Below are 16,876 nucleotides of genomic sequence, written 5' to 3' on the forward strand. Positions count from 1 at the left end.
GCCTTCAGATGACTGAAACCCTGGCTGACATCCTCACCGCAACCACGAGAGAAATCCTGATCCACAACCACTCAGTCAGCTAATCTGCTCCCAAAGTCAACAGAAGCTGTGAGATAATACATGTTTATTGTTTTAAGCCATTAATTTTGACATAATTTGTTATGTAGCAATATATAATTAACGTACTCCAAACAAAATAAAATACAGGATTCTTTATTTTTAAAAGTTAAGGCTGGCACAGTGGCTCACACCTGTAATCCCAGCACTTTGGGAGGCCAAGGCATCATCTGAGGTCAGGAGTTTGAGACGAGCCTGGCAAACATGCTGAATACTCGTCTCTACTAAAAGTACAAAAAGTAGCCAGGTGTGGTGGCGCACGCCTGTAATCCCAGCTACTTGGGAAGTTGAGGCACAAGAATTGCTTGAACCCAGGAGGCAGAGGTTGCAGGGAGCTGGGATTTGTGCCATCGCACTCCAAAAAAAGAAACTTAGCCGGGTATGGTGGTACATGCCTATAATCCCAGCTACTTGGGTGGCTGAGGCAGGAGAATTGCTTGAATCCAGGAGGTGGAGGATGCAGTGAGCCAAGATTATGCCACTGCACTCCAGCCTGGGTGACAGAGCAAGACTCTGTCTCAAAAAAAGTTAAGAAAGTATCATTAACTCATTTGTTGTAGAATTTGGGGGAGGGTGAGGAAGGAGTGGGTCGTATTAAGCCATTTTGAAAATACGCTATTCCAAATCCACTAGTATGTTTTGAAATAATGAATACTTTTTTAAGTTAGAGGTTATTTAAACAAAGAGAGAAAAAAGTCAAAGTAAACAAGCTTCAACAGTGTAAACAGAAGCTGAGGAATGGAATGCTGCATTTTTAATGTCCTTTTGTAGTACTCTCTACCCTCTAACCTTTTCCTTAATACAGCAAAATTACTATACTCTTTGGCAAAAACTGTTTCCCATTTCTTCTCTTCTCTTCCTCTCTCTCTCTCTCTCTCTCTCTCTGTCTCTCTGTCTCTCTCTCTCTCTCTGTGTGACCCTGGCCATTCGAGTTTAAGGGAAATTCAATTGGCAGTCTCAGGGAAGCTACTGAGGAAGCTACATCCACTAACCTGGGTGCAAATATTTGGCAGACAGAGTGCAATTTTCACCATATCAGGCAAGATGGACTGATATAAATGTTGAGCTTCTGCTTCTTCAAGTACCTGAAAACCAATAAAATAAGTTATGTGAATAACAATAACCAGTAAATATAATAACTAATGAATATGTTTGTTATGAAATTAAATTACATATCTGCTTTTCATGGAACCCCATAAAGTGGCACCCTATCAGCATCACCAAACACATGTACAAATGCATCAACAGGTGTATACAAATAAACTTCCAAATTCATTTCCAAATGTATATTTGGCATTAAGGCAATTCACCTTAATGCCCTCTGAAAAAAAATGTAAGTATCCCAAATATCAAATATCCCTCACACAACATTCACAATAAAGTAAAAACACTTGCAAATGGAAAACAGTACATTCTGCCCTTGGTTGTATCAACTAGAAACTGCTAGACACCAAGGACTTTCTGAGAAGCCCCCAAGGACCCATCTAGTTTCAATGGTCTACAATTGAAGAAATCTCCATAAAAGCCACATTAATGACTTCAGAGCATACTCTATGGGTCAAATCTAATCTGTTGGGTAATAAACAATGAGGTTTCTGATGGTCTTAGAATTTCTCTTTTCCAGACACCCTTGGGAAGTGAAAACCACAATTCCCATATAAAAATTTGAAGCACAACAAAGATGCCATGCATGGTCCATTTTTGTCTTTTATAAAATTTCCCCTCTCTATAACACCTTTTAATCTAATGTCTTTCTAAACATCAGGGTATTTCTTTAAAAGTACTGGAAATGACAACACTCTTAATTTAGAGATACTACATATACAGTCAGGACTGAAGTAAATACTTTATCTACTTGAAATCACATTTTAACTAGAAGAGGCCTCAGTTATAATCTGGTCTGAGCTTGTCACTATTACAGAGAAAACTGAGGCCAAGGAGGTTACCTGATCATCCTACATTGAGGTCAATTAAAACCAAATCAGAACAAGAACCTAAGTGTTCTGGCCTCTATGCCACAGCTCTTCCTACTTCCCTATGTGACCAATGTTTGGAATCGATGAAGAAACAGACTCTTGACAAAAATCAGGAACTAAACTGAAATAAAGGTAAAACCATTTGTTTATCTGCAGCTGGACAGGGTATGTGTGTAAATAGAAAAAGTAACAAAGAATATTTGCCCTGATTTTGCCAGTAAATTCTAACACTAAGAATTTTCTTTACACCAAAACTCTAAAACCCAACCTATGTTTACTTCTCTTTTAAAATTAAGATAATGAGTAAACACATTCAGAATGAAGAGAAGGATATTTGTAATTCAGAGAGTTGGAAATTCAATTAGTCATAAGCATACAGAAAATTAAACAAAAGACAATTATTAATTCTGGAGAAAACAAAAAGTTGCTTAAGAGAGGAAAAGCAATCACAGCCCATATATGAATAGTGTTTATACTATCCAACTGAAAAAAAACTACTGATGTAATTGAAATGAGTATGAAAACTATAGTGAGAAAATGCGGAGGTAGAAATGATGTTTGCATTCATGGTAGTGGAGAAAGTGAGAATAAGAGCTAAATCCTAATCTTCTAAAGTGGGACTTGTTTTAAAAAGACTTTAGAGTAGTCAAATGACTGCCTCTTTATAATCTGCCTCTTTAACTCTGTTAAAAATAAAAAAACTAAATTTTTAAAAAATCATATATTCATAGATGACATTCTACTATTTTACAGGTATGCACTAAAGATACTGGCTTCTCTATATCTGAAATGTATGAAAATGTATAAAATATATTAATGCATTTGTTTAAAATATTCAAACTCTTCCTGTTTATAATTTATCTTTTTTTTTTTTTTTAATAGAAACAGGGTCTTGCTCTGTTGCCCAGGCTGGAGTGCTGTGGCATGACCATAGCTCACTGTAACCTTGAACTCCTGGGCTCAAAAAATCTCTTCCTGCCTCAGCCTCCTGAGCAGCTAGGACTATACAGGCCTTTTTGCTTTTTAAAACTATGTATTCTGAAATAATTATAGATTTACAGGACGTTATAGTACAGTATACCTCTCACCCAGTTTCTCTCAATGGTTACATTTCACATTACTATAACATACTAAAAACCAGGAATACCAGTACAATGTGTATCATTCTATGCCATTTTATCACACGTACATTTCTGTAATCGCCACCAAAATCAAGATGCAGAACCATTCCACTACAATAAAGATCTCATGCTACCCATTTATAGTCACACTCAGCTTCCTTCCTCTCGCTATTCCTAACACCCACTAATTTGTTTTTCAGCTGAAAAATTTTGCCATGTTACCTACATGGAAACATACAAGTCTTTTGAAATTGACTTTTTTTACATGGCTTAATGCCCTTAAAAGGCATTCAAGTTATTGCAAGTATCAATAGTTCACTCCTCCTCATTACTAAGTAGAATTCCATGGTATGAATATAATATTATATAATATTCCATGGTTTGTTTAGCAATTTCACCTACTGAGAGGCACTTTGGTTGTTTTCAGTTTTGTACTATTATAAATAAAGCTATCTTTAGTCTCAACCTATCTATATTGTTGTCTGAAATCACTTCCTGTAAACAGCACAGTGTGTCATTTTTAAAATTCACTCTGCACATCTGTCTTTTAATAGATGAATTTAGGTCATTTATGTTTAATGTAGTCTTTGATATGTTGAAACTTAAATCTGTTATTTCATTTTCTTTCTTTTATCTGTTTTCTTTTCCCTTCCTCCTTATGGGTTACTTGAACATAGTTTAAAATTCCATTTTTGTTTATCTAAAATGTTTCTGACTGCATCTCTTTGAATAGATTTTTTTTTAAAGTAGCTGCTGAAGGACTGCATTACATATAACTTACCAACATTTACTGGTGTCAACATTTCACCAGTTCCAGTGAAGTGTAGACTTTACCTTCCTTTAAATTCCTTTACCCTTCTCCATTTATAATCTTCAATATTTCCTCTACATACATTGATAACTATACTATTTTACAATATTTGAAAACAGTGAAAAAAGTCAAACATAATTTACAACACTCAAAAAAGTTTTTAAAAAGTCTATTACATTTACTATATTTTTACTCTTTGTTGTTCTTTCTTCTTTCCTGATGTTCCATGATTCCTTTTTTTTATAATTTCTTTTCTGTTTCAGGAAATTTCTTTAGACATTACTTTATGTTAGGTTCACTGATGTCAAGTTCTGTTTTCCTTCACCTGAGAACATTGTGGTTTCCTCTTCCTTTCTGAAGAACATCTTAATTAGATATGGAATTCTGGGTTGACAATTCTTTCCTTAGTCCTCAAAATTTTGTGTCACTTCTTTCTGGTCTCCATGTTTGCTGCTGAGAGATCCGTTGTCATTCAAACTGTTTTCTGTATAGGCATTGTGTCATTTCTCTCTTGATGCTTTCAAGATTTTTTCTTTGCCTTTGGTTTTAAGAAATGTAATTATAGTATGTCTTGGTATGAATTTCTTTGGGTTTATCCTACTTAAGTTTTGGTCAGCTTCTTGAATCTGTAGATTTATGACTTTTGTCAAATTTTGGAAGTTTTCAGCCATTATTTCTTTGAATATTTTTTCAGTCCCACCCTCTTTCCCCTCCCTTTCTGTCCACACAAAGACACAAATGTTATATCTAAACTCTGGGTTTTGTTTTTTCATCTATTTTCTCACTGCTGTTCAGACTGAGTAATTTCTCTTAATTTCTTCCAAGTTCACTGATTCTTTCCTCTATCATCTCCATTCTCCATTAAACCTGTCTATTCCATTTTAAAAATTCAGTTATTATATTTTTCAGTTCTAAAATTTCCATTTGGTTTCTCTGGATAGTTTTTTTTTTTTTCTTTGCTGGGACTTTCTGTTTTTTTCATTTGTTTCAAGTATGTTTATAATTGCTCAGCCTTCTTGTGATGGCTACTTTAAAATAATTGTCAGACAATTCACATCTGTATTCTCCTGGTGTCTATTGATGTTCATTTTTCATTTCAGTTGAGATTTTCCTGATTCTTTTCTGGTCATGAGGGACATTTTGTTGAAATTTGGATATTTGGGGTATTATAAATCTTTAGATCTTATTTAAATCTTCAGCCAGAGCAGGCTTTCTGTGATACTGTGCCAGCAGGGGAATGGGATAGCTACTTCATTACCAGCAATTGAGGGTAAAAATTCATGTTCCCCAGTCAGCCTTTAGTACCCAAAGTGGAAAGTGAGAGAGGTACCTTGATAGTGCTGGGTTGGGGTGAGAGTTCAAGCTCCCCACTAGGTCTTTACTGATACCACTTTGGTGCCATGTACTCTCCTAGGGTCCCATAGTCCCTGCTGGTCAGTGGTCTTCTACCTTTCAGAGTCTTATGTTTGTTTTACATACAAGGTCCCCTGTTTTTCACTGTAATTAGTGGGAAGGACAGAGAGAAGTGCCTATTCAACCATGTTAAACCTAAAGATATTAAACCTTAAGTGTCTTAACAGGCTGACACGTCTCCTTTGGGTATCCATCTTTGTCTTTTAAAACTGACATGAGTGGCTACTGCAGCGCTCTGCTGACAAGCTTTACAATGTTGCTTATTTATCTGATGAAGCATTATTGCACTGTACTTCTTCACAACTGTCAACACTCCAGACCTATGTCTAATGCTGCTTTGGAAACACAAAAAGGGAACCTAAAAATGTCATTTAAGAACATAAGTGACTAAACTACTGTTTGAGATGGAATGCATAATCTAAAATATCACCATGACCTTATAACCTGTACAACGCAAACTGGGATGCAAGTAGGGAAAAGTTATTTAAGATGTACGTCATTTCTTAACTTCACGAAAAGCAAGAGCCATTGGTCAAATCTTCCATAACAATTAAAGAAAAATAAACATGTATTACTTATTATGATGATAATGATGATTATAAGGGAGGTAAGCATTTACATGATGGTAAAAAAAGAAAGTTGTATTAAATTCTCCCACAAGTAAAACCCTGCCCTCTACTGGATAGTCTGCATAGATAATTACACACAGCAAGTGTTTTGATCTGTGCGTGTGCGCGTGTGTGTGTAGCAACTTTTTATTCTAGTCCCACAAATTGGCTGTATATATATGTAATATATATTATACATATATTTCAGTCAGGATTGATACAATAAATTTCAAAATTATACTGCTATTTTGCCTATCTCCTTTCCTTAGATTATAGATCTGTTCATTCATTCGATTGGCTGATAAACAAATACCTGAGGAACTATTATGTGTCAGGAATTGTGCCAGAAGATGACAGAAGAGTAAACAGTTAACAGACGTGGTCACTGACCTCATGAATCTCATGGCACAAAGCCCTATCCTCTCCCTGTGACCCCCAACACATCAGCCCTAACCTAGGAGGGCAGTAATAACTGCAACCACATCATAGTGACTGTGGACAGGCTATTTTTTTTTCTTCTCTCCACAAATAGAAACAAGCTACTAAAATAAAGGAACTAAATCTGCCAAACATCAAAACATTATAAATATTTAAATATCTACAAACATCCAAATAGAAAAGAGATATTTACTTATTTCTTCTTTCTTTGAATATCTGATTAACTACATACATCTGTTAAATGTGCTCTAATATTTATGAAAGACATATTTATACATGACTAAGTACTATACCTGACATATGGAAAGTATTAAATATTGACTACTGAACTTTGAATTAATAAGTGAAATCTGTAGCTTGCAACATGAGAAGACCAGTGTTATTTCAATAAAAGAAAATATTTCCATAGATCTTTTTCAAACAGTTTAGGGCAAACAGCTTTAAAAAAGTAATCAGGCCGGGCGTGGTGGCTCATGCCTGTAATCCCAGCACTTTGGGAGGCCAAGGCAGGCAAATCACCAGGTCAGGAGATCAAGACCATCCTGGCTAACATGGTGAAACCCTATCTTTACTAAAAATACAAAAAATTAGCCAGGCGTGGTGGCACATGCCTGTGGTCCCAGTTACTCGGGAGGCGGAAGCAGGAGAATTGCCTGAACCCGGGAGGCAGAGGTTGCAGTGAGCCGAGATCGTGCCACTGCACTTCCGCCTGGGCGACAGAGTGAGACTTTGTCTCAAAAATAAATAAATAAAAAATAAAAAAATAAAAAAAAATCAATCACAAATCAATGAATACAAGAAATAGCACAAGCTGCTCCATTTTCTCTATTGGTCTAAACCTAGTTAGATACTAATAAAATTGTGAAAAGTTACTAACAATCCTCTTTAATAAAAAAAATCAAAATCTATATGAAACGTCTAGGATGTGAAATTTTAGACAATTTTTCAATAAGAAGTACACCACTCCAAAACCTAAATAGCAAAGAGGAAATATCCTCATAATCCTATGGTCCATATATATATATATATATATATATATATATATATTTTTTTTTTTTTTTTTTTTTTTTGAGATAGCGTCTCACTCTGTCACCCAGGCTGGAGTGCAGTGGCATGATCTCAGCTCACTGCAACCTCCACCTCCCAGATTCAAGCGATTCTCCTGCCTCAGCCTCCTGAGTAGATGAGACTACAGGCACACACCACCACACCTAGCTAATTTTTGTATTTTTAGAGATGGGGTTGCACCATGTTGGCCAGGCTGGTCTCAAACTCCTAACCTCAGGTGATCCACCTACCTCAGCCTCCCAAAGTGCTGGGATGACAGGCATGAGCCTGTAATACTGAAGATGGGTGATGGAAACAGGGAGGTTCATTACCCCATTTTATTTTTGTATATGTCTGAAATGCTTCTTTAAAAAAAAATTTCCTGGCCGGGCGTGGTGGCTCACACCTGCAATCCCAGCACTTTGGGAGGCTGAGGTGGGTGGATCAACTATGTTCCTAATAGTAACATAACCAATATTTATACCTAAGTTTCTTTTTCCTCATACATAGGTGCATTTATCAGTTGAAATTATGTTGCTCAATTTCGTATTTTTTCTCACCAAATATGACAAAAAAGGCATTTTTTACATCACTAAAGGCAAAATGTTTTTTAAAATGTCATGTATTTTCACTGAAGAAAATTAATGTAAACAAAAAGAAAAGAAATATTACCCACAAGCCCACTGCCAAGATATCCTCTTCTCAGATATAAACAGATGCATATTTCCTCCCCAAACTTCTTCTGAGAACTTAGGTGTGTGTGCATATAAACACACAGTTTTGTGTTACCTTAATTTTTAAAATATTATATTTTTCTACAACTTGTTTTTGCCTTAAGAGAAAGCCTAAAAAGTCTTTCTGTATTATACAATGACAAATGCTACACAGTATTCCAAAGTAGAGAAGTACAATAATTTTTGTAATCATTCCCCTTTGAGAACCATTTTTCCCAACATTTTTAAAAATTTCAAAAATATGGTGAAGTTAAAATAACTGTACACTGAATACCCAAATACTATTTGGTTTCTATGATTAACATTTTATATTGGCTTTTGTCATGTTGTCATCAGTCCATTCTTCTGACCACATATCAATGCATTTTTTAATGCGTTTTGAGGTAAGTTGCAAGCATTCCACCCCATCACTTCAGTTTGCAGATCAGCAACTAGAGTTCACGCCAGGCACGGTGGCTCACCCCTGTGATCCCAGCACTTTAGGAGGCCAAGCCAAGTGGATCACTTGAGGTCAGGAGTTCAAGACCAGCCTGGGCAAGATGGTGAAACCCTATCTCTACTAAAAATACAAAAATTATTTTATGGTATGAATACATCCACAATTTGTTTATTCATTCTCTTGTTGATAGATACCTGGGCTGTCCCCAGGTTTTGGCTATTATAAGTAAAACTGCTATAAACATTCTTCTACAAATCTTTTTGTGTGCATATATTTTCATATCTCATAGGTAGGTAGAGAAAGAAATGAAATTAATGGGTAATAGGGTAAGTATATGTTCAGTTTTTCTAAAAAACAGCCAGACCCTTTTCCAACATTGTAGTACATTTTAAACTCCCAACAACAAAGTATGAGAGTTGCAACTGCTCCATATCGCTACCTACATTTGATCTTTTAGTCTTTCTAGTGCCTGCAGGCTAATATCTTATTCTAGTTATAACTGGCATTTCTCCAGTGACAAATAATATCAAGCATTTTTTAATGTGCTTATTGGCAATTTGTATACCTTCCTTTGTGAAATCCTTTCAAACTCTTGCTCATTTTCTAGCGAGGTTGGCTGTCTTTTTATTTTTCAATTGTAGTTCTTTATATATTCTGGATACATGTCCCTTGTCAGATAAACATTTTGCAAATATTTCGCCGTCTTTTAAAATTTATTTATTTCTATTTATTTATGTGAGACAGGGTCTCACTGTGTCGCCAAAGCTGGAGTGTCGTGATGCAATCACATCTCACTGCAGTCTTGACCTCCCAGGCATCAACCCTGTCACCCTCAGCCTCCCAAGTAGCTGGGACTATAGGTGTGTGCCAACATGCCTGGCTAATTTTTGACTTTTTTTTTTTTCCTTTTTTTTGAGATGGAGTCTCCCTGTGTTGCCCAGGCTGGGGTGCAGTGGCGCGATCTTGGCTCACTGCAAGCTCCGCCTCCCAAGTTCACGCCATTCTCCTGCCTCAGGCTCCCGAGCAGCTGTGACTACAGGCACCCGCCACCACGCCCAGCTAATGTTTTTTTTTGTATTTTTAGTAAAGACGGGGTTTCACAGTGTTAGCCAGGATGGTCTTGATCTCCTGACCTCGTGATCCACCCACCTTGGCCTCCCAAAGTGCTGGGATTACAAGTGTGAGCCACCATGCCCGGCCTAATTTTTGGATTTTTAATAGAGACCATTGCCATGTTGTCCAGACTGGTATTGAACTCCTGGGCTCAAGCAATGCATCTACCTCAGCCTCCCAAGCTGCTGAGATTACAGGTGTGAGCCACCACACCTGGCCTCCAAGAGATCCTTCCACCTCAGCCTCCCAAGGAGCTGGGACCACAGGCATGTGCCACCATGCCCAGCTAATTAATTTTTTTTTTTTTTTTTTGTAGAGACAAGGTCTCCCTATGTTGCCCAGGTTGGCCTTGAACTCTTGTACTCCAGCGATCCCTCTGCCTTGGCCTCGCAAAGTGCTGGGATAACAGGCATGAGCCAATGCGCCTGGCATCCCTGTCTTTAGCTTGCCTATTTTCCTAATGTCTTTTCGTCACAAGTATTTATAAGTTTTTTTCTTTTATAGCTAAGGTTTCCCATTAGCTATAAAAGCTGTAGGTCCTAGGAAATCTTTGTCGACTCCCAAGCTACAAAGATGTTTTCCTCTAGAAGCTTTATAGTTTTTGCTTTTTCAGTTAGAATTTAGAATTATTTTCTATGTATAGTATGTGGGAAGGGGCAATTTTTTTTTTAAGCCCACATGGAAATCCAGTTTCGCCAACACCATTTGTTGAAAAGACACTTCTTTTCCCTTGTTGTATTGCTTTGGCACTTTTGTTGAAAACCAAATGACTGTATAAACATGGGTCTGTTTCTGGGTTTACTACTTCGTTCCACTGATCAATTTGATTGTTATGTCAGTATCATATTGTATTCATTTCCTTGAGCTGCTGTGACAAAGAACCACAAACCAGGCAGCTTAAAACAACAAAAATGTATTATCTCACAGTTCTGGAGTCTAGAAATCTGAAACCAGTTGTTGGTAGTATCACGCTCCCTATGAAGGCTCTAAGGCTCTTCCTGGTCTCTTCCTAGCTTCTGGTGGCTTCTAGCAATCCTTGGGGTTCCTTGGCATGCAGATACATCAGTCCAATCTCTAACTCCATCATCATATAAGCGTTTTCCCTCAGTGTCTTTGTCTCTGTGTCCTTTCCTTCTCTCATAAGGACACCAGTCATTGATTTAGGGTACACCATAATCCAGTGTGGCCTCATCTTAACTAGTTACATCTGCAAAGACTGTATTTCCAGATAAAGCCACATCCTGAGAGTCCAGGTGAACATTAATTTGGGGGGACATTATTCAACTCACCACACATACTGTCTTGTTTACTGTAGTCTTATTGTAAGTATCCAAAGCAATTCACGTTAGTCTGCAAACTCTGCCCTTCTTATTTACAATTTCTTTGTAAATAAGGGTCCTTTGTGTTTCCATATAAATTTTAGTAATCAGCTTTGCATTTTCTACAAAATGCCTGCTTGGTATTATGATTGGAACTGCATACAGGGAGAACTGATATCTTTTTTTTTTTTGAGATGGAGTTTCACTCTTGTTGCCCAGGCTGGATTGCAATGGCATGATCTCGGCTCACTGCAACCTCCGCCTCCTGGGTTCAAGCAATTCTCCTGCCTCAGCCTCCTGACTAGCTGGGAGTATATGTGCCCGCCACCACGCCTGGCTAATTTTTTTGTACTTTTAGTAGAGATGGGGTTTCACCATGTTAGCCAGGCTGGTCTTGAACTCCTGTCCTCAAGTGATCCACCCACCTCAGCCTCCCAAAGTGCTGGGATTACAAGTGTGAGCCACCGCGCCCGGCCGAGAACTGATATCTTAACCACACTGAGTCATCCGGTCCATGAGCATGGTAGATATTCTTTTATTCAGGTTTTCTTCAATTTCTCTCAGCAATGTTTTACGGTCTTCAAGATACTGGTCTTACACATTTTTTGTTAAATTTATTTCTAAGTATTTTATGGTTTTTTAAAGCTATTTTTAATGAAATTTTTAAAATTTCATTTATGGCAAGTATATAAAAATATAATGATTTTTGTATACTGACCTTATGTCTTGCTAAATAAATTAGTTCTAATAGTTATTTTTTAGGTTTCTTGGGTTTTTCTGCATAAACAAACACCGTCAACTACAAACAGAAACAGTTTTACTTCTTCCTTTCTGATTTTCAAACATTTTATTTCTTTTTCTTGCCTTACTGCATTGGCTAGGATTTCTAGTACAATGTTAATAAGAATGAAGAGCATGGGTGTTCTTGCTTTTCCCCCAATCTTTGGGAAGAGTATTTCATATTTCACCATGAAGCATGATTTTAGTAGTAGGTTTTTCACAGATACTCTTTAACAGATTGAGGACATAGTTGTTAATAGTTTTGTTATTGTTGTTTTGTTTTGTTTTTTTTCTGGAGACAGTCTTGCTTTGTCAACTAGGCTGGAGTGCAGTGGTGCGATCTTGGCTCACTGCAACCTCTGCTTCCTGGATTCAAGCAATTCTCCTGCCTCAGCCTCCCAAGTAGCTGGGACTACAGGTGCATGCTACCACACCCAGCTAATTTTTGTAATTTTAGTAGAGATGGAGTTTTACTATGTTGGCCAGGCTGGCCTCGAACTCCTAACCTCAGGTGATCCACCCGCCTTGGCCTCCCAGAGTGTTAGGATTACAGGCATGAGCCATCACTCCCGGCCTGCTAACAGTTTTTCACTCTGAATGGTTACTAAATTTTGTCAGGTGCTTATTCTGCATTTATCACAATAATCATACAGCTTTTAAAATATAAATCCAATCCTGCATTTCTGAGATGAACTCTGCTTAGTAATCATGTATTATCCTTTTTACATATTTCTAGATTTCATTTGCTAATATTTTATAAAATCTTTGTCACATACTAGTATCGGAGGTATATATATATGGCTTTATAAATGAGTTGGAAAGTGCTCCCTCCTCCTCTCTTATTTGAGTTTCTGTGAACTTAGTATTATATCTTCCTTAAATGTTTCGGAGAACTGACAGTGAAAACATCTTGGTCCACATAGTAACCAATGTTTAATTAGGCATATTTTACTAGGTATTAATCCTTTGTCTCACATATGTTAAAATAGTCTCCCCTGTCTGTCATGAAACCACTAGTTTTATTATTTTTTAATATCTAGAATATAGCATACTTGAGCCCCTTTTTCAGTTTTATCTTTATCCTTTCTGTTGCTTGTTTGCTACTGTCCAGTGATACTTAACTATTTGCACCTCCTGACTTCATTTGTACCATACTGACTTCATTAAATACTATGATCAAATCACAACCTTTTGAACCTATTTTCTTACTTATAAAATGAAAATATCTTGCAGAGATGTGGTCAGAATTATAAGCTTTTCAACAAATAACAGCTAGTATTATGATGATGATGATGCATTATTTTACCCTCTGCCTTGTTTAACATTTTACTACCATTAAACCACGAACTATGCTTCAGGACTCAGTTCCCATCTCCCTGGGAAGCCTTCACTGATTGCCTGACTGCCCCTTACTCTATGACTCTAGAGCCAAATGTACATACTTGTATTAGAACACTTACTGCGGTTATTACAATTATTTATCTGCATTTCCTGTCCTCTGATCTGTGAAACACACAAAAAAATTTAAACATCTTGTGGCCCCCCAGTACTAAGCATAGTATTTAGTGCTCATTATTTGCTGAATAGAGTTGATAAAACCAAAAACATTGCATTTTATCTTCAAAGTATCCTTGCAAGATAGAAAGGATAAGGGCATCTAGAGAGACTAAAGCTCCAAGAAATAAGCAATTTGTCCACATTCAAAAACTTAGTGGTGGTTGGGGGCAGTGGCTCACACCTATAACCCCAGTATTTTGGGAGGCCAAAGCAGGTGGATCACTTGAGGTCAAGAGTTCAAGACCAGCCTGGCCATCTCTACTAAAAATACAAAAATTAGCTGAGCATTGTGGCCCACACCTGTAGTCCCAGCTATTTGGGTGGCTAAGGCATGAGAATCGCTTGAGCTCGGGAGGTGGAGGTTGCAGTGAGCTGAGATCATGCCACTGCACCTCCGGCCTGGGTGACAGAGCAAGACTCTGTCTCAAAAAAAACAAAAAAACACAAAGACATTGGGACTAGATGCCAGAGCTTTTCTTCCCAGGTTCACAAGGAAGGATATAAAAGAAATACTGGCCAAGAAACTGGAAGACTAGTTATAGGCCTAGATGTGCATTTACTCTTGTATTAACCACAGAAAAATCCCTAAATTCTTTATTTCCTCATCCATAGTAAGGATAATTCTACTATAACTTTAACTTACAGAGTTACGAAAGCTTTCAGATATAATAGTGTTTTATGAATTCTAAAGCTCCATATAAAAAGTATTAATGTCTAATGGGCCAGTAATTCACAAACTTTCTGGAGCCTCCTTCTTCTTTGATCACCCCCATATCAATTAACTGCCAAGTCCTATATTGATTGATCCAGCAGGATCTCACATATTTATTACCTCATCTTAATCACTACTAAACTACCCTCAGCCCTCATCCAGTCTCATCAAGATTACTACAATAATCTAACTGCTGCCCTGCTGATAGCCCACCTTCAGTTTCTGCCCAAGTAGACTATGATGTGCTTCTGCTCCACTTCAAAGCTTTCAATGGCTTTCTGCTGCCTTTTCAATACAGAACAAATCCCTTGAACTAACAGTCAAGCTCCCTTACCCTAGATTCTTATCTAGTCTCATTCAGCACATATATATAACATACACACACACACAAACTCTACCTTCTGTGCAGCCTACATACTAGAAACTCAGAAATTCATTTTTCTATAGCATCTGTTTGTGCTGCTACAGATACGATCCTGGAATATCTTTCCTTCTTAACTCCAAAACTTATCCAACCTTTTGATCTTGCTCAAACAATAGTTTGCTTCAAGTCTATCCAAATTTACTCTCCAGCTAAAAAGTAATTCTCCCTCTTGTAATTTATTTGAACTTTTTTTCACAAGACACTTAAGACTTTCTGCTTTCTGTTGTTATTTATGAACGTGCATTCTAGCCCTTACTAGAAGCTCCTTTAAGACAAGATTTATGATTGATTCACCATTCCTACAACAGTGGTGTTCATATGTAAAACCGTCAATAAAAATATGTTAAATTAACTGACACTTTCTATCTGGATTAGCTGATTTTACAAAGCTCATCCTCCTCCTCTCCATTGCCTTTCAGAATCTCTATTACTCAGCAAAAATATCATAGTTTTCTTTTGTGTAAGTTGATTAAACTGTCTATAGGCTAAGCTTTCCATACTGGAACTACCTCTAAGTTTTCCCAAGTCTAAAGCACAAGCTCACATTTCAAAAATTAAAAGTACAAAAACATTAAATGTTAGAGGAAAAACAATCATACTACTAAATTACGTAAGGGTAAAAAAATCAACTGGAGAAGGTGAAAATTTCTAACATTTATCTGTGCACAACTCAGGCTGACACTTTGAAGAGCAGAATGTGACAGCTTACAAGAAAACAAACTCACTCATTCCCCTTAATTTCTGAAGGCTCATGAAAGTCTGACAGGCCAGCCACAGGGTGATCTCTCATGTGTATCGCCCATGACAATTATGGCTTCAATAAAAATGGTCTCCATTTTTAATAAACTCCAACCGGTTTTCAGGAAATAGCCAGGTTAACATGGTCATATTTAAGAAGGCATATTTCACCAATTAGCAGCTAACTTATTTAGTTCATGGACCTAAATAAGACTGTGCATGGAGAGGTACAAAATCAGTGTGGTAGCAGAGGGCAAGGTGGTGTGAAAGGCTGAGTCCAGGGGTCAGCTGTGGTGACACATACAAATGGCTGTGCTGAGGATCACCTTGCCCCTCTACTTTCTTTTGGTTTGATTTGGTTTTCCTCTTTAAACAGCTATTAAGAGTCTTCCTATGAATTTTCAAAGTGTTTATGACTCAAATCTGGGAAATACTGATAAAAATCACAGCTCATTATAAGCATTTAAAATGATTTGCCCTAACGATAGATAAATGAAATATACCGAGTTTTTAAAGTACTCTGTAATTCACACTGGAAATAACCTGCAGTTGTCCTTATATTAATTTGACAGTTGCTTAATATGAAATAATCGGGCTGCTATACAGACACTTTGTTTCCTCCCCATCAAGGATTGCCAGCAGAAGGGGGAAAAGAGGAAAAGAAGTGCTAAGCAATGAAACCTCCTTTCATTTTTAGTCTCCACTCCTATGGCCCAGCTCTTATCAGCTAGTGCAGGACGAAGGAGGAGGAATGAAGGGAGAAAGAGTCCTCCTGCCAATTCTCACCACAACCCTACTTCCAATCTCTCCTAAGCACTGCTGTGTTTCTAGTGACAGAACTCTGCATTAGTTTTTCACTTCAGAAAACAAGCCATCAGAGGTTTAAAATTCACAGACTTTCTGGATGTGGTGGAAATTTCCCCATCATGACTCCTAATTCCAAATAATTAACAACTAGTCTGGGAACACAATCAGTTTAGGAAGAAGATCTTCATCCAATTCTTGAAACAAAATATGCCTCTAATCAAAAACAGTCACACTATTTTCCTACACAAACTTCATTAAACATGAAGAATAGAATTGTGTAGGTTTATAAAACATGAAGGAAGTTCTTCTTTAAACAATATTTATTGCACAATCATATCTATTTTCATGCTAATAATAAACAGCAGAATTCTTACTTTAGAAAAGACAAAACGTAATAATACACCCTCATTATCCTATGCCTCCAAAGAATTTACTTCTCAGTACTATTATGGTAAATGATTATTCCTTAGGAAATAAACCCACACTGGCACAAGACGCTCTGACATGTCTTTCCTATTTCTCACTTCTATTACTGTACGACTACATGGCCATATCCATCAATCACTTTTGTAAACACCACCAAACCACATTGCTATTATGTCCAAGCCAATGGATACTTTCAATACCACATAGTCACATTATTATCCATCTTTATAGACAGGCAGTAAAACTCAACATGACAAAATTTCAGAGAAACAGCTAATGGTGATGTAAGTTTTCCA

At 37.1% G+C, this 16,876-nt stretch overlaps 1 protein-coding gene across 15 annotated transcripts in view; it reads right to left on the reverse strand.

Moving 5' to 3' along the window:
- The window catches only part of PARG (poly(ADP-ribose) glycohydrolase), a 123,749-nt gene that overhangs the window by 65,815 nt on the left and 41,058 nt on the right, over nt 1-16,876 (reverse strand). For all 15 annotated transcript variants that reach the window (NR_130169.3, NR_136752.3, NR_136754.3 and 12 more), the window contains one exon: nt 1,110-1,202. Coding sequence is in view for 7 of the 15 variants with exons in the window: in NM_001303486.3 (NP_001290415.1) it covers nt 1,110-1,202 (93 nt within the window). In the remaining 8 variants the exon portion in view is untranslated. The remainder of the gene's footprint in view (nt 1-1,109; nt 1,203-16,876) is intronic.

Source organism: Homo sapiens, chromosome 10 (genome assembly GCF_000001405.40).
Source record: "Homo sapiens chromosome 10, GRCh38.p14 Primary Assembly".
Classification (NCBI taxonomy): Eukaryota; Metazoa; Chordata; class Mammalia; order Primates; family Hominidae; genus Homo; species Homo sapiens.